Genomic DNA, 25,895 nt, shown 5'->3' with positions numbered 1-25,895 from the left:
TCTATCTCCTTGAAGTGGTGAGGGGCGGGGGGTATCTACATAATTATTTGGGCTTTTTCTGTATAGGAGAGATGCTACCGCTCCATCAGGTCATATACACACATGGACTCATGGGTACTTACTTTATCCTTTGGGTTATAATCCTAAGGTGCATTATTTACTTTGTTGCTGAGATTTGTTTCATCTTTGGCCATTGGGCATTCTATCAGTTGGCTCCTGTGTCCCTTTCACATGCCTACATCCTTGTTTGTGGAACACTTCTTTACTTTCTGGCACTACAAGATGCCCTAGACCCAGAATCAGCCATTTCTCTAGGGAGCCCTGATTCCTTTTCTTGGAGAATGGTATTAGAAAACAAGATCTGGGCATTGGATGTACCCGTTGCTGCTGGCATGTCTGCTGCTAGGCCCTCTCAGTGAACAGAGATATATGCCTGTGTAATAACCCAAATAGACACACATAATTGTAATTACTTTCTGAATCCTTCCGGAAAACACAATTTTTTTTAAACTAGTAAAATATACATAAAACTTGCTGTTTTAACCATTTGTAAGCGTACATTTCTGTGGCATTAAGTGCATTCACATTGCTGTGCAACCATTACCACCATCTGTCACCAGAATTTTTCATCTTCCTCCAACACAAACTGTACCTATTAAACACTGACTCCCCATTCTGCTCTTCCTTAAGCCCCTGGGAACCATCATTTTACTTTATGCTTTGACTATTCTAGGTACTTAGTGTAAATGGAGTCATACAATATTTGTCCTATGTATGACTGGCTTATTTCACTTATCATGTCCTTAAGTTTCATCTATGTTGTAGCATGTGTCAGAATTTGTTCTTAAAGCTGAATAATATTCAATCGTATGCATATACCAAATTTTGTTTACCCATTCATCCATTGATGGATACCTGGGTTGTCTCTACCTTTCAGCTATTTTGAATAATAGGGCTGTAAACACTGGTGTACAAGTATCTGTATAAGTTCCTGCTTTGAATTCTTTGGGGTATATACCCAGAAATGGATTTGCTGGATTATATATGCTAATTGTTTTTTTTTCTTTTTTAAGAAATCACCATACTGCTGTACCATTTTACATTCCCACCAACTGTATACATGGGTTCCAGCTTCTCTATGTCCTTGTCAACACTTGTTCTGCTTTTTTGATAATAGCCACCTTAATAGGTTTATAAAGTGGTATCTCATTGTGGTTTTGATTTGTACACTTCCCCAGTGATTACTGATGTTGAGCTTTTCTGTACTTATTGGACATTTCTATATCTTTTTGCAAGAAGTGTCTATTCAAGTACTTTGCTCATTTTTTTCAGGCTTTTTATTGTTGCAGGATTTATTTGCAAATGTTTTCGCCCATTCCTTGGGTTGCCTTTTCATTCTGCTGATAGTGTCCCTTGATGCACAAATTTTTAATTTTGCTGAAGTCCAATCTGTTTTTCCTTTTGTTGCCTGTGCTTTTGGTCATACCCAGGAAATTACTGCTAAATCCAATGTCATGAAGCTTTTCCATTTTTTTTTTTCTTTTTGAGATTGAAAAAAAAGACAGGCTGCTTTTTTCTGTCTTTTCTTGCTCCGTCGCTCAGGCTGGAGTACAATAGCGCAATCGCGGCTCACTACAACCTCCGCCTCCCACATTCACGCAATTCTCCTGCCTCAGCCGCCTGAGTAGCTGGGATTACAGGTGCCCACCACCACACCTGGCTAATTTTTGTATTTTTAGTAGAGACGGGGTTTCACCATGTTGGCCAGGCTGGTCTCCAACTCCTGACCTCAGGTGATACACCTGCCTCGGCCTCCCAAAGTGCTGGGATTGCAGGCATGCACCACCACACGGGGCCAATAATTCTTTTTCTTCTTTTTTAAAGAGTTTAATGATTCTAGCTCTCTTTTTTCTTCCAACCTTAGTGGATGGAGCTAGTTCTTGATGGATTTTAAGTTAATATTTGTATATGGTGTAAGGGTCCAACTTTTTTTTGTATGTAGATATCCAGTTTTCCCAACACCATTTGTTGAAAGGACCCTATTTTCTCCACTGAATGGTCTTGGCACCCCTGTCAAAAATCTGACTATATGTGTAAAGATTTACTTCTAGGCTCTTTATTCTATTCCATTGGTTTATATGCTAATTTTTATGCCAGTACCATACTGTTGGTTACTGTAGTTTTGTGTTAAATTTTGAGATCAGTAAGTGAAGACTTCCAACTTTGTTCTTTTTCAAGATTATTTTGAGTATCGGGGGGGGGGGTCTCTTGACATTCTGTATGAATTTTAGGATTGATTTTTCTATTTCTGCAGAAATGTTGGGATTTTCATAGGGACTATTGAATCTGTAGATTACTCTGGGTAGTATTGACATCTTAACAATATTTATTAAGTCTTTGACTCCATGAAAATATGATACTTTTTTTTCTTGGCCTCCCAAAGTGCTGGGATTACAGGTGCGGGCCACCGTGCCTGGTGAAAAACATACTTTTATGTCTTCATTTTGTATGGCAACATTTTGAAGTTTTCAATGTACAAGTCTTTGCCTCTTTGGTTCAGTTTATACTATTGTAAATGGTGAAAAGCACAATTGTAAAGGAAGACAGATAGGCATACCATTAAGTCAAGGTATTCATGACTTGGTCTCCTTGCTTTTATGGGAGGCTGCACTGTAACTAAAGATCTTTGGGACGTTGTAAATTTTTTTTTTTTTTTTGAGATGGAATCTCACTCTGTTGCCCAGGCAGAAGTGCAGTGGTGTGATCTCGGCTCACTGCAACCTCCGTCCTGGGTTCAAATGATTCTCCTGTTTCAGCCTCCCCAGTAGCTGGGATTACAGGTGCACACCACCACACCTGGCTAATTTTTGCATTTACTTATTTATTTAGTTAGTTAGTTAATTTATTTTAGTGGAGATGGGGCTTCACCACATTGGCCGGGTTGGTCTCGAACTCCTGACCTCACGTGATCTGCCTGCCTTGGCCTCCCAAAGTGCTGGGATTACAGATGTGAGCCACCGCGCCCAGCCTAAATTTTTTTAAGGCTAATATTTATGTGTAATTCTAAGTAAAGTATCAAGTGACTGTTCCTCCTTATATTGTGTTACAAAGATCTTTTCAAATTAATTTAAAATTAGTTATAAAATAACTTTCTAATTTAGGGCAACACTCCTGTAGTCCATTTTTGTGCCCCACATCATGTATAGCACCTAAAAGAGTGCTAGCTCATGTAGGTGGCCAAAAAATGAGAGTGAAGATTCAAAAAAGAAATGTTGTTATTTAGGGTAAAAAAAAAGACAATCATCAATCAACAAACTAGGCTGGAATTACTAGATTTTATTTTTCCCCAGAACTCTTAAACTTCAGCTTCACCAAGTAACAGGCTGACTTTTGGAATAACAACTCTTTCCCAGGCTGTTGTTAACTCTTTCCAAGAGACAGAATTTATTAAAAAACATGGTTCCAGGATATTTCCACCCCAGAATTCTAAATCAGTCACAGAATCATACCTTCTTAGGTCTTGATTAGAATGAAACAATCTATAGACACACGTAACAGAATCAAAATATTATGTAATGTTTTTTGCCTTCTCTTGCTCAATACACTTCCCTCTTTTCCCCCAAAGAGTTTGTTACTCAAAGATAGATAGATATGTAAGTAAGTACAGTCAGCCCTCCATATCCATGGGTTCTGCATCCATGGCTTCAACCAACTGCCAATCAAAAATATTCAGAAAAAGAAAAATTCCACAAAGTTCCAAAAAAGCAAAACTTGAATTTACTGAACACCAAGCACTATGTTGAATCCATGCAAATGAAGTGATGTGTAGGTATTTTATTAGGTATAAGTAATCATCTTCAGATGATTTAAAGTACACAGGAGGATGTATGTAGGTTATATGCAAATACCATATAACCCATTCTCTATAATGGGACTTGAGCACCCATGGATTCTGATATCAAGTTGGGTTCCTGGAACCAATCCCCCATGGATACCAAGGGATGACTGTATTGCCCTTTTCAAGAAAGCATCTATCAGCTCTCATTCGTGACTCACTCAGAATAAGGAATTCCTTATTCAAAAAACAATGTAAGTATTCCGAGCTAACTGTTCTCAGCCATGAACAAATTAAACTTGGCCAGGTGTGGTGGCTCATGCCTGTAATCTCGGCACTGTGGAAGTCAAGGTGGGAGGACTGCTTAAGCCCAGGAGTTTGAGACCAGGCTGAGCAACCAATGAGACCCCCTCCCCGGCCAAAAAAAAAAAAAAAAAGCCAGTCCCAGCTACTTGGGAGGCTAAGGTGGGAAGATTGCTTGAGGCCCGGGAGAACAGGGATTCAGTGAGCTGTGATTGCACTACTGCCCTCCAGCTTGTGCAACAGAGCAAGACCCTGTCTTAAGAAAACAAATTAAACTTATTTTACTCTATATTTGACTTTGCTTTAATCAATATCTTCTATTTGCAAAAGCCAAACCCTATTTTTAAAACTCCTTACAATTTCCATTATGACTTGGAAAGGAAGATGGAGGGAATGGGGAAGAGTTGGCTTGTTTTGTGGAAGGAGATTCTGAAAAGGGCAGTTATTTACTTTGAAGTCATAAAGTAGAAAAACAAATGTTCTTTTTTTTGATAATGAAAACCCTTGTAGGTAAAGACCAGAAAATTCTGGTCCTGAAATTATAACATATTACAATATTGTTTTTAATATATGCAGAATTTATATTACTTTTTAATTTCTTTTCCCTGAGATTGGGTTCACAGTTTGGTAGAAATACTTTAAAGAGGTAGTTAGCAGGGGTGAAGAGGAAACAATGTTTATACTAACAGCACCTGGAAAAATAAGTAACAACTGTCATTTTGATCTCAGCATCTACCTCTCCCCCTTGAATCTGCAAATGCTATAGAAGGAGATGATCATTTTCCTTTTTATTCTTATCTGCCTGGATTCTCTCTCCTATTAAATCCACCCCAGTATCACTAATCATAAAAATGAGTTGCCTTTCCAAAGATATGCTATAAAGCAAACCTTCAATATCAGGTTGTTTAGATTTAGAAGAGAAAGGCTCAAGTAAGTTCACTTTTATTCATACAGTCATTAGAGAAAATGAGCAAAATTTCCAGTAACCCCAACCACTGCCTTTTCTCCCTGGACCTAGTAAATTCCTATCAACTCTTTAGTTGACTCTAAGAACTGGGCTCTATGAGATCCTGACAGCTAAAACACAGGTACAGAGGAGCCTGCATAAACGTTTTGGTCCAGGTCTTGGCCTCCAGTCTTATGATGGGCTGGTAGAATATTGCTTCATCAGATGCTTGTGACAGGGATTGCAAACTCGCTCAAGCTTGATACTTGAAGGAAGAGGCAGTTCATTTGTTGAACAGGCATCACAGAAGGTTCCGCTGCAGTTCTTACACACATTCTATGAGAAGAGGAGGTTAGGCGGGGAATAGAAGATGAGCAAGGCATAAGGATTCATGGGATATAAAAAGCCAAATATGGCAAATGCTCAATGCCTAATCAAACAATGACTGAATGTTTACTATGTGCCAGGTAGTATCTGAACACAGGCCCAATCTACAAAAAAGTTCACCGTCTAGTTTTTAGATTTAAATGAAAAGAAGCAGTGCCATAGAGTTAAAAATAAAAACAGGTAACATACAAGTCACTTATCTTTAGAATATCCTTCACACATCTGTTCCCCATACTCACTTTGAGGTAGGTTAGTTTTAAAATTAGTTTGCAAGTACCTGCGCATACTCCAAATAAGGCAGTGAAAGAGCAATGGATTGAGTGAACAGGCTAAGATTTAAAAATGTCCAGAGTATGAACTGAAAGTATAATTCCTAATAAATACACTGATGTGCTTTATGCTTTCCTGTGGTCTCTGGTGCTCTGTAAGCACATCCACTGGGTTATCAATGCAGCAGGAGCACAGCTTCCTGCATCTTGTTCATAGGGAAATTATTTTGTTTTCCTAAATGTTTTGCATCTTTAATGGTCAAGCACAGAGAGCAAGAAGTCACTATAGCAATGTCAGCAGTAAGGCTGTGATAGGGTGGTATACACAAAGCTCCAAGGGTCCTATATAAAAAGCTGTAAAGAATAATTTCTCCCATGAAGTGCTACCTTCATCCCAAATAATTCATCTTCCTGAGGTTGAGAGGAGTAGGGGGTTGCTTTTATCTGAAAGCCTAAGAAGAATTTTTGTCTGACATACAGAAGCTAATATTGCATGGCTTAGAAGAGGAAAGCCAGAATTAACAGTTTGTTCTACTTTGTAACATATTTCTATAATTGTAACTTCCAGTTCTATAAGGGCAGTTCATTTGTTATCTGATTCTGTGAATTTAAGACTAGGTCATATTATAATTTATTAAAATTTTGCATGATCACAGATGGTGCTATGCAGGTTGTGATCCAGAATTTGAGCCTGTTTCCTGTATCTCTTCCAAGCATGTGTTTCATACACTCATTTGTACATAACTTTTCTTGAGGATCTACTATGGATTGGGTACCATATTAGATGCTGGGGGATTCTGTGAACAAGACACAGTTCCAGCTATCAAGGGCACTCATTCTTTCTGAATACTTCCTTAACTCTGCCTACTCTAGGATAACAAACTGGGAAGATGCTCAGGCAGGCACCCTTGAGGATCGGGTGGAAAACAAGTGGTCTAGCAGGGAGAGCTCATATCCTGTTCTGAGCAGGATAAAGTGCTGAAAGGACTGTGGACTTTGGAGCGAAAGCTAGGTTGGAAGCTGGGCTTCATCACTTATGACTTAATTTTGGGAAATGTAGTTAGCATTAGATGTTCAACGTTCTTCATCTATAAAATGACAGCTATGAAGGACATAAGCTTGACAAGAACAGAGACTTGGTCTACTTTGTTCATTACTCTTTCTCCAGCACATTCTACACAGCAGGCACTCAATATTTACTTATACATTTCTATCTGCTTATTTGCTTTATTACATAATTATTTTTGTTTGTTTATTTATTTACTTATTTTTAGACAGAGTCTCGCTCTGTTGCCCAGGCTGGAGTGCAATGGTGTGATCTTGGCTCACTGCAACCTCCGCCTCCCGGGTTCAAGCGATTCTCCTGCCTCAGCAACCTGAGTAGCTGGGATTACAGGCCACCACGCCCGGCTATTTTTTTTTTTTTTTTTTTTTGTATTTTTAGTACAGACGGGGTTTTACCATGTTGATCAGGCTGGTCTTGAACTCCTGACCTTGTGATCGGCCCGCCTCGGCCTCCCAAAATGCTGGGATTACAGGCGTGAGTCACCGCGCCTGGCTATTTATGTTTATTTTAATGGGAATTTTCTGACATGAATTATTATGACTGAAAAAACAGGTACCCAGTAAATGCTTGCCCCTTTTGCTTTTCACCCCACTCCCAGCACTCTGCATGCACTCTGCACTCTATGCGGGAAAGTCCCTGTTACTCCTGGGGAGGGACTGGGGGCTGCTGTAGACATCCCTATGAAAAGCCTGTCCGTTTCTCATCACAGTTACCTTTGTTAGGCTGCCGTCTTCCTGGCATAGCTGACACAACTGTGGCTTTTCAGAGAGCAGCAGCTGATCCTAAACCACACAGGGAGCTGGTTAGTTTTTCTTAGTGCCAGAAATATTAGTACTTTCAGAATATGCATTTTTTACCTACAATATTAATATAATCACACTATAGACTATCTGGAAACTAAACCAATTATAAATAGGTAGTCCTACCACCATAATACAACTCGGATAATCCTATCATTATGCTTCCAGCTCTTAATTTTTATAATAACATGATTTCTAAAAAGAAAATTCAAACACATGCAAGTATAGAGTAAAAAGTTTTAACACTATCCCATTCCTCTTGTTCACTCTACCATCAAGAATGGAAAGCACTGGGGACTGGGCCTGGTGGCTCACGCCTGTAATGCCAGCACTTTGGGAGGCCAAGGCAGGTAGATCACTTGAGGTCAGGAGTTCAAGACCAGCCTGGCCAACATGGCAAAACTCCATCTCTACCAAAAATATATATATTAAAAAAAAAAAAAGTTGGACATGGTGGTGGGCGCCTGTAATCCCAGCTACTCGGGAGGCTGAGGCAGGGGAATCACTTGAACCTGGGAGGCGGAGGTTGCAGTGAGCTGAGATTGTGCCACAACACTCCACCCTGGGTGACAGAGTGAGACTCTGTCTCAAAAAAAAAAGGAAAAAAAGAATGGCAAGCATAGGGCATGGAAGCTCACACCTGTAATCCCAGCACTTTGGGAGGCCAAGGCGGGAAGATCACTTGAGCCCAGGAGTTTGAGACCAGCCTGGGCAACACGGTGAAACCTAATCTCTGCAGCCCTAGCTACTCGGGAGGCAGAAGTGGGAGGACTGCCTAAGCTCGGGAAGTTGAGGCTTCAGTGAGCTGAGATCGTCCACTGCACCCCAGCTTGGGCAATGTGAGTAAGACCTTATCTCCATTTAAAAAAAAAAAAAGGAAAGCAGTAGGACTTATTTTATTTTATAACCTAAGAGGTAAATGACAGGGTGACTCAGACACAGTAGCATTCACTGTCTTTCTCATGGGCTTATCATATACTATTAGATTAACAAAGTGTTTTACAATCATTTATGTTAGCTTATTTCTAAGTGATCAAAACATCTTTTTTCTCTCCATTTTATGTAAGGAAAAACTAGAGGAAAGGGACATAAAGTGAGCTCTCCTAGATCTTATGTCAGGGATAATTTAAAATAGGTGAGAACTGATGTTTACTTAGTAAACTGCTCAAAGCTGTGCTACTTCCTGTGTGAGCTTCAGGCAATACATATTTGTTCAGGGTATTGTTAGAAGGATGGCACACTGTATTCACTCATCTTCCGCCCATGCTACCTTATTTGCTGGCTAGGCACGGTACAACCAACTTCATAATTCATACAAGATGTTTTGAAACAGGAGGCTCTGTTACCTGTTCATCCATAGGGTGGGGTTGCAGCCTACAATGGAGAAGTAAAAAATTGTGACAAATAGGAACTTCATGTATTTTCATTTATATCATTTCAATAAAAAGCTCAGAATACAAACATTTTTTTCAAACAAGAAATACTGTAGGTCTTTTATATTACTTAGAACAACATAATTATTAATTTTGACCTCCAAGGAGAGGAAACTTTGCTTCTTAAAATGAATCACTAGAATCTGACCCTTGACTTATTATATAAGGGTTCCCATTTAAAAATAGATTTGAAGTTATATTTTACATTCCTTTTTGCTATCAAAATAGTTAGCATTTATGTTTCCCAATGTGTAAAACTCCAATGGTTCACTGGCCATATATTTTAGTAGCTTTTTTTCTATTTGATATTATGGAAATCTATCCATTATCCATTATCACATGTTGTGTATCAGTCCCAAATATTCTTAAGATGTGAGCTTTAGCAAATTAACCCAAGAAGGGGAAATGAATGAGACTGTCACCAGAAAACCCATTCAGGTTGAAATATTTCTTCATGAGGGACTAAGCTGAGCTAACTCCGATGTTCCAGCATGGACTAGAGCCTAAATGAGAGGTGAAGCAAAGCCCGCTCTCGGTTACAGGGAAAATGCACTACAGATTGCAATGGTTCTTATTCTTTTCACTTGAGTAGCAGTGTGACCACCAGACATACACCATGGGGTGACCAGGTTTTCCGATGTTCCTTGCCATCATAATCCCAGGAAGCCTGGTATGTCTAACGATTGCAGCTATGGCCAGAATAAGTCCTGGAAGTTGCTAATAGGTAGTGCAGAGCCAAAGGACTTAAAAACAGTAGACATGATAAACAGAGGCAACTTGGATAAGTCACCCAGCCTCTCTGCTTCTCAGTTTTCTCATCTGTAAAGTTGCATTAGGTACTTTTGTAAGGAATACTGAATCATAAGGAGATAATAAATGTGAAACAAATTCTAAGTTGCAGAGCACAATTCAGATATAAGGAAGCACTGTTCCATATTCTCAGGACCTAAATCAGAAGTTGGCATTTAAGACACTCCTGGTTGCTCAAGTAAATGATTTGATTTTAGTTTGGAACGAGGCTGACCCTGAAAGGCACCTGGAAGCCCAGGTTAATTTTATGGCCCTTCTAGTTCCCTTCTCTTTGCTTATGCCATTCTGTAATGTGAGATGGGTGATAGTTTAAAGTTAGCTCTGGATCAAACCATGCTCTTTGGGAGCAAGGCCAGAAAGGGACATTTAGGCCAAGCACCTGCATAATTAGCTTACTATTGGACTGTGTGTTTTCTCTTCTCCAGCAGCTACTTTTGCTCCAGATGACACACTACCTCATTCTTAAGGTGACGAAGCCTGGCTAGGGACAGCTGTATAGTTCTCTCAAAACCTCACTGTGGTATCATTCCTCATCACTAACCTCTTCCTCCACCTTTTAAAGTAGACCTTTATGTTTAGAGCAGTTAGGTTCACAGTCAAATTGAGTAGAAAGTACAGAGACTTCCCACATGCTTCCTGCCCCATCCCTGGCCTCTTTGTCAACATGCTGCACCAGAGTGGTACATTTGTTACAACTGATGAGCCTACACTGACACAACATCATCACCCAGAGTCTATAGTTTACATTAAGGTTCACTCTTGGTGGTGTCTAGTCTATAGTGTGGTCAAATGTATAATGACATGTATCCACCATCATAGTATCATACAGAGTAGTCCACTGCCCTAAAAATCCTCTGTGCTCCACCGGTTCGTTCCTTCCTTCTCTTACCACTGGCAACCACTGATTTTTTTTTTTTTTTTTTGTCTCCATAGTTTTGTCTTTTCCAGAATGTCATGTAACTGGACCTCCTTCACTTTTTAATGCAGTGGCACTATGTAATATTTAATTATATTTCTAACCTGCTAAAATAACTATAAAAAGTCAGCTTCCTTGAAACTATCCTATGCTCTTCATCATGAGCAAATCAGACAGAGTTAGGATAAAGGAATGAAGTTAAGCTGTTTGAGATTCTCAAGATAAAGGAAAAATGAGAGATGAGACATAAGAGAAATCAGAGTACTTATTTGAACTTTTTTTTTTATTTGAGACAGAGTCTCACTGTATTGCCCAGGCTGGAGTGCAGTGGCGCTATCTTGGCTCACTGCAACCTCTGCCTCCTGAGTTCAAGTGATTCTCCTGCCTCGGCCTCCCAAGTAGTTGGGATTACAGGCAGGTACCACCAGACCCGACTAATTTTGTATCGTTAGTAGAGACCGGGTTTCACCATGTTGGCAGGCTGGTCTCGAACTTCTAATCTCAGGTGATCCACCTGCCTCGGCCTCCCAAAGTACTGGGATTACAGGCGTGAGCCACTGCGCCCAGCCACTTATTTGAAATTTAGCACAGAGGTAGAAACAAGTCATACTCAAATATATTTAAGAAGTTAAGAAATGCTATGTATGACTTATACTTTATTTTCCTGGGATACCAATTCAGTAAAGGTGGGAAATAACCTCTTAAGTGATAATCTGAGCTTGGGAATTAATCAGGGAAGAGAGGACAGCCTGATCATCCTTCTTTCCTCTGAAATGGCCTAATGGGTTTGGTTTAATACATGTTATACGTTTTATTATTAACTTCCACTTCAAATGTCTTCCTGGCATATTAATATTATAAGTCAGTGTCTGGTCGGTGTCAATGCCAATGTATATAAAGAACTCCCTCCTTCCCACCACCCCAGAATAACTTTACATCTTAGTTAATACTTGATTAACAAACACCTGTGGCTTTCTTCCAGGGGCTTTTTTAGTTTAACATTTTCCTCTTGCATTTTGTGCTTCCCATCCTGCCAAAAGAAAACAGCCCAATTTATTAATTATTCAGAATGCTAAATAATGATATTGCAAATATTTTCTTCTGCAATGCCTTAGTTTGGGTATAAAGCTAAGTAGCTTTTTTTATTAGGGAAGGGATCTAACTTTCAAGCTATGTTTCCTCATTCTTTGCTCTAAGTAGTTTCTTAATTATTCTGACAGTTTGTGACAAATGATTTTCAAAGTAATATTTTAATTCTTGAGATTCAAATAAAATTCAGAATGTATTCTACTTACTTGCAAAGTTGGCTCCAGATATCAGTTACTTCTTAGGGGAAGTATAATTTTTTTTTTCTTTTCCCCAGACTGAGCTCTGAAAAACTGGTAAAACCAAGGATGGCCATATACAGCAGACTATAATCCTCTGGACGTTCAATCAAGTTGATGCCCCAGTGCCACAATATTTTTCTTTCTTTTTGGAGACAGAGTCTCGCTCTGTCGCCCAGGCTGGAGTGCACTGGTGCCATCTCGTCTCACTGCAGCCTCTGCCTCCCGGGTTCAAGCGATTCTTGTGTCTCAGCCTCCTGAGTAGCTGGGATTATAGGCGTGCATCACCGTGCCTGGCTTATTTTTGTATTTTTACTAGAGACGAGGTTTCACCATGTTGGCCAGGCTGGTCTCGAACTCTTCACCTTAAGTGATCCACTTGGATTCAAGTGATTCTTGTGCCTCAGCCTCCAGAGTAGCTGGGATTACAGGCACACGCCACCATGCCCAGCTAATTTTTGTATTTTTAGTAGAGATGGGGTTTCACCACGTTGGCCAGGCTGGTCTCGAAGTCCTGACCTCAAATTATCCACCCGTCTCGGCCTCCCAAAGTGCTGGGAGTACAGGCGTGAGCCATCGCACCCGGCCCAGTGCCACCATCTCTATAGCCTGTTCAACTCAAGGAATTTTCTACTTGGCAGGACAGATGTAAAGTTTCAAACTGCATTTCTTTTTTCTTTTCTCTTTTTTTTTTTTTTTTTGAGACGGAGTCTTGCTCTGTCGCCCAGGCTGGAGTGCAGTGGCATGATCTCGGCTCACTGCAGCCTCTGCCTCCTGGTTTCAAGCGAGTCTCCTGCCTCAGCCCCTGAGTAGCTGGGATTACAGGCGCCCACCATTGATGGCTAATTTTTGTATTTTAGTAGAGACAGGGTTTCACCATGTTGGCCAGGATGGTCTTGAACTCCCGACCCAGGTAGTCTGCCCACCTTGGCCTCCCAAAGTGCTGGGATTACAGGCGTAAGCCACCACGCCCAGCCTCAAACTGCATTTCTACCAATACTCTTAAGCCCTGCCTGGGCAAATTTTGTTTGTTTGTTTTGGAGACAGACTCTCACTCTGGCACCCAGGCTGGAGTGCTGTGGTACGATCTTGGCTCGCTGCAACCTCTGCCTCCTGGTTTCATGCAACCTCTGCCTCCTGGTTTCAAGCGATTCTCTGGCCTCAGCATCAGGAGTAGCTGGGATTATAGGTGCACGCAGCAAGGCCCAGATACTTTTTTGTATTTTAGTAGAGATGGGGTTTCACCATGTTGCCCAGGCTTGTCTCAAACTCCTGGGCTCAGGCAATCCACCCGCCTTGGCCTCACAAAGTTCAGGCATGAGCCACTGTGCCTGGCAAGGTGCTGGGCAGTTCTAAGGGCTACATTTTTTTCTGAGGCACACACAACCACTGCTGCTTGCCTTCGACTGCTGCCCGCCTTCGACTGCTGCCCATGTGCATCCAAAAGTGGAATGTGTTTTCTTTTTGTTTGTTTTTTGAGACAAGGTCTCATGCTATTGCCCAGGCTGGAGTGCAGTGGCATGATCACAGCTCACTGCAGCCTCAACCTCCTGGGCTCAAGTGATCCTCCTACCTCAGCCTCCTGAGCAGCTGGGACTATAGGCACGAGCCACCACACCGAGATAATTTTTAAATTTTTTTGTAGAGATGAGGTCTTCCTATGTTGCCCAGGCTAGTCTCTTACTCCTGGGATCAAGCAATCTTCATGCCAACGGCCTCCCAAAGTGTTAGGATTACAGGTGTGAGCCACCCAGCTGAGATGTGTGTTCTTACACCACTCAAGAATCAAGGAAGAGAGGTCAATACTTATCCTCCTGGAAATGCCACTGCAGGCAACAACTGAAGACTGAAAAACTTAAAACCTCATTGGAAAAATAGGGTGAGGTAGGCCAAGATTTTAAGTAAACTTTTGTAAGCCTTTTAGATTTTATGTTCACTAAACTAAAATAATAAAGATAGCATGCTACACAGAGTGTTTTTTTTTATTATTTTTTTATTTTTTTGAGATGGAGTCTTGATCTGTCACCCAGGCTGGAGTGCAGTGGCTCAGTCTTGGCTCACTGCAACCTCCGCCTCCCGGGTTCAACCAATTCTCCTGCCTCAGCCTCCCGAGTAGCTGGGATTATAGGAGACTACCACCATGCCCGGCTTATTTTTGTATTTTTAGTAGAGACAGGGTTTCACCATGTTGTCCAGGCTGGTCTTGAACTCTTGACCTCATGATCTGCCCACCTTGGCCTCCCAAAGTGCTGGGATTACAGGTGTGAGCCACCGTGCCTGGCCTAGAGTGGTTCTTTGTACACTTTAAATTATTAGTAGTGGTACTATTTAATAAATTTCCACATACCATTGTTTTCTATTTGCCAGTAAATTAGCAGCTCACTCTCTAGAAATTTTAAATAGTTTATGAACTCTTCCTGCTTTGTTATATACTAGAGGTATTCAAAAAGTTCATGGAAAACGCGTATTACGAAAAGACTGTGCATGGACTTCAAAAATATTTCGCACCAAAATAAACTTGTATTAACTTATTTTAATATATCTAATCAGGATTTGGTTTGAGTCACTAAAAAGGATAAGACATCAGTTTGAAAAGAACCCCGGGCTGGGCACGGTGGCTCATGCCTGTCATCCTAGCACTTTGGGAGGCTGAGGCAGGCATATCGCTTGAGCCCAGGAGTTGAAGACCAGCCTGGACAACATGGCAAAACCCTGACTCTACCAAAAAAATACAAAAATTAGCTGAGTTTTGTGGTGTGTGCCTACAGTCCCAGCTACTCAGGAGGCTGAGGCAGGAGGATCACCTGAGCCTGGGAAATCGAGGCTGCAGTGAGGCATGATTGTGCCACTGTACTCAGTTCTAGGTGAGAATGAGACTCTGTTTCAAAAAAAAAAAAAAGAAAAGAAAAGAAAAGAAAAAAGAGCCCCTATCAGAGTAATATGAATTCTGCTAAAATTGAAGCAAGAACAAACATCAAATTGGTGGTGAAGCATGGATGGAAGAATTGTGAAATTATTGATGCTTTACAAAAAGCTTTTGGGGACAATGCTTTAGGATTGTCCCCAAAGAAGTGGGCAGTTTACAAAAGGATAACTCACTTTAAGAAGGGGCCAGATGATGTTGAAGATGAAGCCTGCAGTAGCAGACTATCCACATCAATTTGTGAGGATCTTGTTCATGCTCTAATTGAAGAGGACCAACAATTAACAGTAGAAACAATAGCCAACACCACAGATATCTCAATTGGTTAGGCTTATACAATTCTGGTTGAAAAATTAAAGTTGAGTAAACTTTCTACTTGATGGGTGCCAAAACTGTTGTGCCCGTATCAGCTGCAGACAAAAGTATAGCTTTCAATGGAAATTATAAACAAGTGGGATCAAGAACCTGAAGCATTTGTTTGAGAAATTGTAACAGGAGATGTAACAACTTCATAGTACAATCCTGAAGACAAAGCACAATCAAAGCAATGGCTATGAAGAGGTGGAAGTGGTGCAATCAAAGCAAAAGCAGACGGGTCAAAAGCAAAGGTCATGGCAACAGTTTTTAGGGATGCTGAAGGCATTTTGCTTGTTGACTTTCTGGAAGGCCAGAGAATGCCAACATCTGCTTATTGTGAGAGTGTTTTTAATTTTTTTTATTTTTGGGGACAGAGTGTTGCTCTGTCACCCAGGCTGGAGTGCAGTGGTGTGATCTTGGCTCACTGCAACCTCTACCTCCCAGGTTCAAGTGATTCTCATGCCTCAGCCTCCCAAGTAGCTGGGACTAGAGACTAGAGGCATGTGCCACCACACCTGGCTAATACTTGTGATGAATGTTTTGAGAAAGTTAGCCAAAGTTTTAGCACAAAAATGCCCAGGAAAGCTTCAACAGAGAGTGCTATTCCACCAGAAATATGCTCCTAACTCATTCCTCTCATCAGACAATGGCAATTCTGTGAGAGTTATGATGGGAAATCATTAGGCATCCACTTTACAGTCCTGATTTGGTGCCTCTGATTTCTTTTTGTTTCCTAATCTTAAAACATCATTAAAGTGCACCAATTTTTCTTCAGTTAATAATGTAAAAAAGATTGTATTGATATGATTAAATTCCTAGGACCCTCAGTTCTTCAGGGATGGCCTACATGACTAGTATCATCACTTACTAAAGTCTCTTGAACTTGATGGAACTTAGGTTGAGAAATAAAGTTTATATATCTTTACCTTTTAATTCCATTTCCCATGATCTTTTTGAAGTCGCCTTGTATAATATGTACACACAGAAGGCAATTTTTTCACTGTCTTTTACAGAAAAAGTTATTTTATGTTTTTCTGATTTCATTATTTCCTGGGCCCCAGAGATGATCTTACCCAATTGTAGCTCCTTCATCACTGGAGGTGCTGGAGGGGTCTCCTTCTAAGATTATTATGTAGAAATTTCTACTTTTGCTCTTTATTCTGTATTACCTTCCTTTCCTCAAGCCTAATTCCCTAATTATTCCCACGAGAAGTTCCTTAAGGATACTCAAAATGAAATCCTCATGATTTGAAAAAGGTATACAGAAGCAAATCCACATTGAGGAAAATTCTGTTAAAGGGGAATTCAGGGTTGGAGAGGGATTATTATACTATTTTATTAAAATTATTATTTAGCAGAAATCCAAGAAACATATATTTTTGTTAAGACACCAAAATAATCTTACTTAAAAAATTATTAAAAGGGAAATAGGGTCACTGTGATTATTAAAATCCCCCTTTCCAAATGAAATCAAGTTGGAGAAAGTATCCTAGAGGCAGACTCAGAATCAAGCTTTCATTTGTTCACATAATTACTAGTTTGCTATCTACATACTTGAGGACACAGCCACTAAGTATGTGATCTGTAAAGGAAAACTGACAGGACTATCAAGGTAGCCTCTAAAATTTAAACTGAAATTAAGTAAAAGAACAAGGGAATAGCAAATATTACCATCTTGGATTCTGACTTCTGGGAACCCCTTCCTGGGATGCTCCTGTCGTTTTGTAATCTTCTTTCTTTTTCCTGTTTTAGTTCTAACTCAAGCTGGTTCCTGAGGTAAGTTGGAGAGGAAAAGGATGAAAAATTGGAATTCTATACAGACATATTCTCTAAAGAATGCCAACCCCTTGTCTTAAAGTGCAGTAATTACGAATGGTTAAGGGCTTGCTGTCAGAGAGACAGGTTTTTAAATGATAATGTTGCTACTTCTAAGCTTAACTGTGTGAATCTGGACACATTTAACCTGTCTAATCTCTACCTTTTTTTGAGATGGAGTCTTGTTCTGTTGCCAGGCTGGAGTGCAGTGGCATGATCTCAGGTCACCGTAACCTCCATTTCCTAGGTTCAAGCAATTCTCCTGCCTCAGCCTCCCGAGTAGCTGGGATTACTGGCACCCACCACTATGTCTGGCAAATTTTTGTATTTTTAGTAGAGATGGGGTTTCACCATCTTGGCCAGGCTGGTCTGGAACTCCTGACCTCAGGTGATACACCTGCCTTGGCCTCCCAAAGTGCTGGGATTACAGGCATGAACCACTGCGCCCAGCCTTAAGCTCTACTTTAATCTGAAAGTGGAGGCAATAATATCACTAATAGGGTTGATATGAAGATATTAGGAGAGTTTGCATGTGAAGTGCCTAAAGTATCTGGCACACAGTAAGAATTCAGGAAATATTACATATTATTATTAGTGTTATTTTGGCTAATAATTACTATTTATCTGGGATCTTGGGCTCTAATTTCCTAATTCTTTGATCACAAAGCATGTTGATCGGATTTGGGGAATGTTGAAGTACGTGAAGCTTTCTGAATTCCAATTCCAGAGAAAGGACATTGCAAAGACAGAGCCAACCTGGCTGGAAGTCATGAGACCCCTTTTCTTGCTGTCTACCCTAAGAATTACCCATGACCACCCTGTCAGCTCAAGCTACCCCCTCTTCACCGCTGCCTGGTGAGCTCCTCGACTTCCAGCTGCAGACTGTTGATCTTGTCTCCAAAGTCCTGTTTGAAGAGCCGGTTGTCCAACTCAGCAGATTGGCGGCTTCGCTCAGCCTGGCGCAATCTGGATGTGAGCCACATGAACTTGTGATAAAAAACAAAAGCCATGGTGGGGAAGAAGACCAAGTTCACAACACAAAATAAAATAACCCAAGGAAGAATGCACAGAGAGACAGAGAGAGGAAAAAAACTTTGCAGGACACAGGTGAAGAAATTATGGGGGGGAAAAGATGGAGAAGAAACAAATTCTAAAGAAAAGTAAGATGAAGGTGAACCAGGCAGAGGAAAAGCTGATTTTCCATTTTTTTTATTCTAGTACTACAGTTTACAGCCATTAGATGATAAACAATAAAACATCACTTTTTAGAAAATCCATATCCAAAGCCAACCTCAAGTACACAGTAATTTAAGTTAAATCCACTTTTTAAAAAAATTTCCTAATAGGTTTGGTACTTAATTTTTCTGTTTTACACACATAACTGGAACTTGTAAATGGGCAACTACCTTCTTATATGTGGAATTATAGTTTTTTCTTGTCCTTTCCCCCAAACCACATATATTAAATCATGGGACATTATATATCAACCCTCACCTAGGCTTTGGGTTATTCTATAAGGAAAAGCCTTTGTCAGAGTTTGGCTGTCTCCTTCCTTTCCCATTCCCACAAAAGATGTGTGACTAAGTGGACAAAGAACTCAGCACTGGGCCTGTTTAAGACTCTGACCATATTCTCCAGAAGATTCTGATGGATGTTTTCTTCTACATATCTTATAACTTTGCACCTATAGAGAAGCATGTTTTAGAAGGTAAAGCACTTGGGGCTTTATATAATAGAATTTAAACGCATGCTATGTGTAGGTTTTAGAAAGTTCAATTTCGGTATTTGATCACTCCTTCCAAATGCTCGTAGAAAAGGCAACCCATCACCACAAAAGGTTGATGAAGAGAAGAATACAGTAGGAGCTTTGTTTATATAGGTGCAAATTATAAGAATTAAAATAAGTTCAAGAGCACAGGATCTTCCACTTCCATGAAGTTGGTCTAAACATATGTTCTTTGGACTTAATTTTGGTTCAAGTCCAATCTGTGCAGGGACCTATATAAGCACACATGGAATCTATCTTACACTCTTAATTCTGGTTTTGCCAAGAAAAAGATAAAGAATTTTAAGAGCTGGAAGCGAAGGGGTTATCTGTGTCCCCACCAAAGCAGCTGAAATGCTGCAAAGCATACCAGAATGAAAAAAAGAGAAAAAAACCCAAGTATTTTGTCAGGACCTTTTGAAGGAATGAAGGCTTATGTAAAGCCTGTCTCTTCAAATCAAAAATCATCTTAAAAAATCAAACTGTTTATAGGATTATTTACAATGTTAAAGCCTAGAAAGGGTTAGTCTGTGGTCACTTAGAAACAGAAGCCCTGCTAATATTGCTTGTGGATATCTACTGGGAATCTATTTTTGTACTAAATAATAATAAAGAATATAAGTTTATCATTTACTTCCTATTCTGAAATGTTTTTCTAATAATTCAATTATTAGCTTCCCAGAACCTTTAGCAAATCCCCATCTGAACAAAAAGTAACAGAAACTCTTAAGTAAATGTTTCCAGGTAAGAAATGACAGGCCAGGCAGAATATCATCATTCATGTCTATACCCTGTCCTTTTTACTCCAATATAAGAAAAGCAGGATACGAAAAATGGGTACTGCATCATTTTTTGTTAATAGGAGAGGAGTGTTTTTATTAGAATTGTTCTCTCTGAACTGCCTAAGTAGGAAGCGGAATTGCAGGAAAACGGCAGAGGTAGAAGATGACAAACATGAGGAGGGTTTCCCCAGGCGTCCACATTATTATGTTATCATAGGTTACCTAATTACTAACTTTATTTCTATGTATTTTAAAGAAATATAAGGATGCTGCTTTTTCTTTTCTTTTTTTTTCAAAAGTCACCAAGGCAAAAAAAGTTGCAAGCAATCTTGGTTACTGAGAATAGAAGTGTAGTGAAATACTAAGTACTATCCTTGGCTTGGGGATTAAACCTATATAACAAAAGTGAAAAGGGGTCATGGTCTAAGAGACACAGAACTATTTTAGAAGAGTTCAAGTTCACATGGTAGTTACCTCTAGGTTCATCACACTGCAATGGCAGAACAGGCTTGCAGATACAGACATGAACAATGCACCGAGAATCTGGTATTATCAAGGACTGGGTTGTAAAGGCATCATTAGTATATGTACAGAGCTTCAATTCCCTAGGCTTTTTTAAAGAAAGTGGTATTTTTATTTATTGGTCAACTCAGAAATAATTTCTCAAAGTTTATTCAGCTTTTAATTAGGAACTTATACCAATTTTTCTAACCCTGGGGAGAAAACAATAAGAAAAAAACCCAACCTATATTTCCAACTGGTTTTTTAAAAGTCCAACAAATTCAAAGTCAACTTTTTGGTGACATTTTATATAGAATCAGAGCTTAAATGTAGTAACTTTCAGATTTCTTCCTTTTACAATTAAGTTGTGATATCGGACTTGCGACGTGACCAACTTAAAAATGCCTAATGATGTTTTGGGATCAGTTTATTTGCTGCACTATTTAAGGTCTTTGCCTGTTTCACCAAATCCTTTTCACTAAATAAAATAAAAATGACAATGAAGTGAAAGGAGAATGAGAAAATGGATAAACAGGAAACACAAAAATAGCAAGAGAATAAGTCAGCTTAATACTCAAAGAGATAAGTCATTATTCTCTTTCTGTTTGCTTTAAATTCCAAGTCAAAACATCATTGAAAAGAAATTTGATACATTTCATTTCAAAAGCACAATTTATGAACAGTAAAATCATTTTGTTAAATCATAAACATATAACTGTTTATGAGCAAGTACCTAACCATCTTTCCTAGGTAGACTGATACATTTGTATTTGGCTATGTAAGAGGTTTCAGGTTTATTTATAAATTTGCCATTAAGTTTTGAGTTAACATTAATATGCACTGCTGTTCAGGACCCTTACTGGTTAAGAATCATCTGAATATAAGAAATCACCCATTAATCCATTCATTCATATATCTACTGAATGAATGCTTGTATATTCAAGGCACTGCGACAGATCTAATACGGGAACTTAAAAGATTCGTTAACTAATCTCAGGGAGCTTACACTCGCATCGGAGGAGACATATATAAAGAGTTAAAAGGTACAGTAGACAGTGAGAAGTGCCATAAGCAGTATAGATAGATATGAGTATGAAGCTATGGGAGTTCCCAGAAAGACAGATCATTTCTAGCTGCAAAGAGGTATCAGAGGAAACTCTGGGGAGGTGGCATTTGAGCCTAAACTTAAAAATGTATCTGACGAATAAGGGAGTGGGAAGAATTAGGACATTTCTAATTGGTGGAACTATTGGGAAAGAAATAAATGGGAAAAATGGGAAGTACAGGGACCAGCAGTTTAGTTTTGCTCAAGTGCAAGAAGGGTGACAAACAGGTGTTAAGGGTAGAAACATCAAATGACCTTGGGTACCACGTCACATTCATCCTTGAAGACTCAGCCATTTCTCTTGGCTGCTAAGTTGCCAGAGAGAAAATGGTGGTTTCACATAAGCACAGAAAGAGAGTAGCATAGGAAGAAGATGTGCTTTGGGCAGACTGAATTGTAGATACTGGTGGAAGATAGCTGCCCAAAGGATGAAAACTCAAGACTGGTCTCCAGATGAAGGTAAGAGCTGGGAAAACACACTGGAGGTGACAGTGGAAGCTACAGAACTACCCAGGAGAAAGAAAAGGGAGATAAGAGAAAAGGGTTAAAGAAGGGAGAGAAAGATCCAGAATAGATCCTTGGAGGACACCTATCTCTCAGTGCCTCTATATCCCCTAGCATCCAAGTATTCAAAGACTTCAGTGATGAACAATAAAATCACAGAATTACATACATACATTTAAGAGTCCTTCCATGCTTTTAAGTATCCTTCCTCTAACACATGACTCTGACATGGATTAAGAGTTCTGATGTTCAAAACAGTCATAAAAGGCTGACCTTTCTTTTTTTTTTTTAAAGGCTAGTCAAGTGATTGACATTTCCTAAAAACATTTCAGTCATACCTTAGAAAACACACATAACATTCAACTGGCTTTTTTCTACCAGAATGTCTGATGCTAATTTGGAAGAATTTCATGTATTTTCTATTTGCCGAATGTACAGCACATTCTTTTCACTTCAGCACTGACAATCCAAAGTGTTTCATTAAAGAAACAGGACTTTTACCTTTGTTCAAGTTGTTTAATGGTAGCAGCCATCTGATTAGTCTTCTCTTCCAAGCGACTGTTTAGTTCACTTTTCTGTTTTACTCCTAAGTCTGAACTCTGTTATGGAAAATAACGATAAACAACCTGTATAACATAAATCCTAAAATACAACCACACATGCCTTTTGAATCTAATGGTAAGTGGGAAAACAGAAATGTTCATATATTTCAATATCAGTTAATCCTGAAATGGAAAAAAAAGCAATTTATCTAAAGTTAGTATTGTTATATGCAGTGTGATCACAGTAATAGTTCATCAATGTATCACATTCCAGTGTAAAAGCTAATAGAATATATAACTTAGCTGGCACGGTAGACTGCAGAGTAGAAATTACCCTATAGGATAAAAAAGACCCTCATCCTCTACTATAATGTGAAAAGTGGCCATGGTTTTCTAGAACAGCAATACAGGATCCCATGGTTGTCTGATTCTGAAAGTAGTTTACTGGCAGCTAGCATCAAAATGAGATGTGATTCTTTCCTCTTGTAATTAAAGTGTGATTCTGGAGGATCAGATGGGAGGAGGGAAGCCCCAGGATTTTAGAGAGCCAGTGAGTCTATTCCTCATATTTCCCCTACCTGCAGCTTAAAGGCAAGTTCATGCTTGAGAGCTCTGAGGTCATCCAGCTGCTGCCGAAGAGATACCAGGGCATCCTGCTTCTCACAGACATCCTTCTCCAGCATCTTCATAGCCAATTCCATCTCCTGCCTCATGCTGATCTGCATCTCCAGTTCTTTCTCAACATCCTGCCCCCAAAGGTAAGTAAATTGCTTACACTCTGTTCCTTCAACTAAGTACAAACCATAATATTTCACAGGAAAAAGTACACCAAAACTCTCAGGTCTGAATATTCTGGCAAAATAGCTTAAGCTACCATTCATTTTCAGAGACATTAACAATAATTAATTAATAATTAACAATAATAATTAGGATATACAATAACATTTGCCCAATAATGTACAAATCTGAAAAACCTGCTAAGCCAAAGATAGTGTTATTTAATACATCTAAAATATATACATATTTGAGACACTTCAGTAGATATTACGACAACTGATGGTCATATCTTATTATAGAAATATACCTACAGGGTTACAGCAGTCAGCACAAAATGAAGCAGTTGCAGTCCTCCTAAATGTGAATGTTGTTGATATATTCAAGAGCCCAGGGAACCCAGAGGACCATCTGGGTCCCTGGGGTAACATCGCAATTACTGAGGATGATGACTAGTATGGTTACGAGGCGAACAGATTTTTTTTTTTTTTTTGAGACAGAGTCTCGCTCTGTCGCTCAGGCTGGAGTGCAGGGGCTCAGTCTTGGCTCACTGCAACCTCCACCTCCCGGGTTCAAGCGATTCTCCTGCCTCAGCCTCCTGAGTAGCTGGGACTACGGGTGCATGCCACCATGCCTGGCTAATTTTTTGTATGTTTAGTAGAGACGGGGTTTCACCATGTTGACCAGGCTGGTGTGAATTCCTGACCTCGTGATCTGCCCGCCTCAGCCTCCCAAAGTGCTGGGATTACAGGTGTGAGCCACCACACTCGGCCGCTAACAGAATTTTTAGTTCACTTAACATGAAACCTCTTTTTGTTTCAACCATTATTACTGCAACATTATGTGGGTGATCGAAGATACAAAGACCTGAGGATCTTCTGCATCTGCCTTGTGCCTTGGGCTCACCTAGGACCTCAAATACTTTCTTAGTTTCTTTCCTTCTTAACAAACATTTGTCTTACTGTGATAAAAGGATATGAAAAATTTTAAGATTTTTATTATGTGCCACTTCACTGAGATTCTCATTTTACTTGATTAGCATTATAGAAAACGAATCATACCCCTTCTTAAAATGCTGACATATATTATTTCTGCGACCTTTCTTATGAAAAGTATTATATTTTGAGATCTCATTCACAAATACATAGAAGGCAAATGCTAACTATTTTAAGGATGTCAAAATAATATCGCTTTGTTTTCAAAAAATCTGAAATTCTGGCCGGGTGTGATGGCTCACACCTGTAATCCCAGCACTTTGGGAGTCTGAGGCAGGCGGATCACAATTACAAGGTCAGGAGTTTGAGACCAGCCTGGCCAACATGGTGAAACCCCATCTCTACTAAAATACAAAAATTAGCTGGGTGTGGTGGCAGGCGCCTGTAATTCCAGCCATTCAGGAGGCTGAGGCAGGAGAATCTCTTGAACCTGGGAGGCGGAGGTTGCAGTGAGCTGAGACTACACCACTGCACTTCAGCCTGGGTGGCAGAGCAAGACTCCATCTCAAAAAAAAAAAAAAACAAATAAATAAATCTAAAATTATGTTATATACTGTCAATTTGTTTTTATATATATATATATATATATATATATTTTTTTTTTTTTTTTTTTTCTGAGACAGGGTCTCACTTTGTCACCCAGGCTGGAGTGCAGTGTGATCTTGGCTCACTGCAGCCTTAACCTCCTTGGGCTCAGGTGATCTCCCTCCTCAGCTTCCCAAGTAGCTGGGAATACAGGCATGTACTATCAAGCATGGTTAATTTTGTAATTTTTGTAGAGATAGGGTGTCCCTATGTTGCCCAGGCTGGGCTCAAACTCCTAAGCTCAAGCGATCCTCCCAAAGTGCTGGAATTACAGGTGTGAGCCATGGCGCTTGGCCTGTAATAATTTTTTAGTACAAGTTAAGTCACCCCTTATTTTCAGGCTCCTCCTTATTCTTAAAGACATTCTGGGGAGGTCCTTGTGTTTGTTATACTATCTAAACTCCAGGAAGAGTTAGTATGTGAATACCAGGGGTTATTAATATAATAACACTAGCACCTGGATAAAATCTAGTACAGGAATAGTATCCCTTATTATAAATTCTTTTTAAAAAAAGTATGACTGACACATAGTAATTTATGGTATAGAACATGATGTTTTGATAATATAAAAATTGTGTAATGACCAAATCAGAGAAATGAATGTATCTATCATCTTAAACATTTATCATTTGTGATGAGAACATTCAAAAGCCTCTTTTTTTTCCAGCATAAAGAAAAGACAAATATTTAAGGTGATGGGTATACCAAGAACACTGATTTGGTCTTTACTACATGAGTATATTAAATTATCATATGAACCCCAGAGCTATGTATATCTATTATGCATCAATAAAAAAAAAGAAAAAAAAAAACCTTTCTTCTAACTATATTAAAATGTGTATTATTGTTAACTCTAGTCACCCCACACTATGCAACAGAGGACCAGAACTTATTCCTCCTATCTAACTATAGCTTTGTACCTGTTGACCAATCTCTTACTATCCCCTGCCTCCTCTCCCTCTGGTAACCCCACCTTACTCTCTACTTTTATGAGAACAACGTTTTAGATTCCACGTATGAGTGTTATCATATGGCATTTCTCTTTCTGTGTTTGGCTTACTACACTTCACATAATGTCCTCCAGGTTCACCCATGTTGCCACAAATGACAGGATTTCATTCCTTTTTATCGCTGAATAGCATCCCATTGTGTATATA

The 25,895-nt window shown here is 39.5% G+C and overlaps 1 protein-coding gene across 21 annotated transcripts in view; it reads right to left on the bottom strand.

Moving 5' to 3' along the window:
* Positions 3,317 to 25,895, bottom strand: part of RUFY3 (RUN and FYVE domain containing 3) — a 104,853-nt gene continuing 82,274 nt past the window's right edge. For 6 of the 21 annotated variants that reach the window (XM_011531750.3, XM_005265656.4, XM_047449825.1 and 3 more), the window contains 8 exons: positions 22,963 to 23,130; positions 22,344 to 22,441; positions 18,032 to 18,151; positions 17,042 to 17,141; positions 11,731 to 11,795; positions 8,953 to 8,980; positions 7,520 to 7,588; positions 3,317 to 5,420 (listed from right to left, as the gene is read on the bottom strand). In XM_011531750.3, the coding sequence (XP_011530052.1) occupies positions 5,277 to 5,420; positions 7,520 to 7,588; positions 8,953 to 8,980; positions 11,731 to 11,795; positions 17,042 to 17,141; positions 18,032 to 18,151; positions 22,344 to 22,441; positions 22,963 to 23,130 (792 nt within the window). In that variant the 3' untranslated portion in view covers positions 3,317 to 5,276. Of the gene's footprint in view, positions 5,421 to 7,517; positions 7,589 to 8,951; positions 8,981 to 11,730; positions 11,796 to 12,060; positions 15,274 to 17,041; positions 17,142 to 18,031; positions 18,172 to 18,378; positions 20,712 to 22,038; positions 22,442 to 22,962; positions 23,131 to 25,895 lie in introns of those variants that run through there. The other 15 variants (XM_011531755.4, NM_001291994.2, NM_014961.5 and 12 more) reach the window with 9 other exon arrangements.

Source organism: Homo sapiens, chromosome 4, assembly GCF_000001405.40.
Source record: "Homo sapiens chromosome 4, GRCh38.p14 Primary Assembly".
In the NCBI taxonomy this organism is placed as follows: Eukaryota; Metazoa; Chordata; class Mammalia; order Primates; family Hominidae; genus Homo; species Homo sapiens.
The sequence above is the reverse complement of the archived record's forward strand: the minus strand, read 5'-3'. Positions and strand labels throughout refer to the sequence as shown.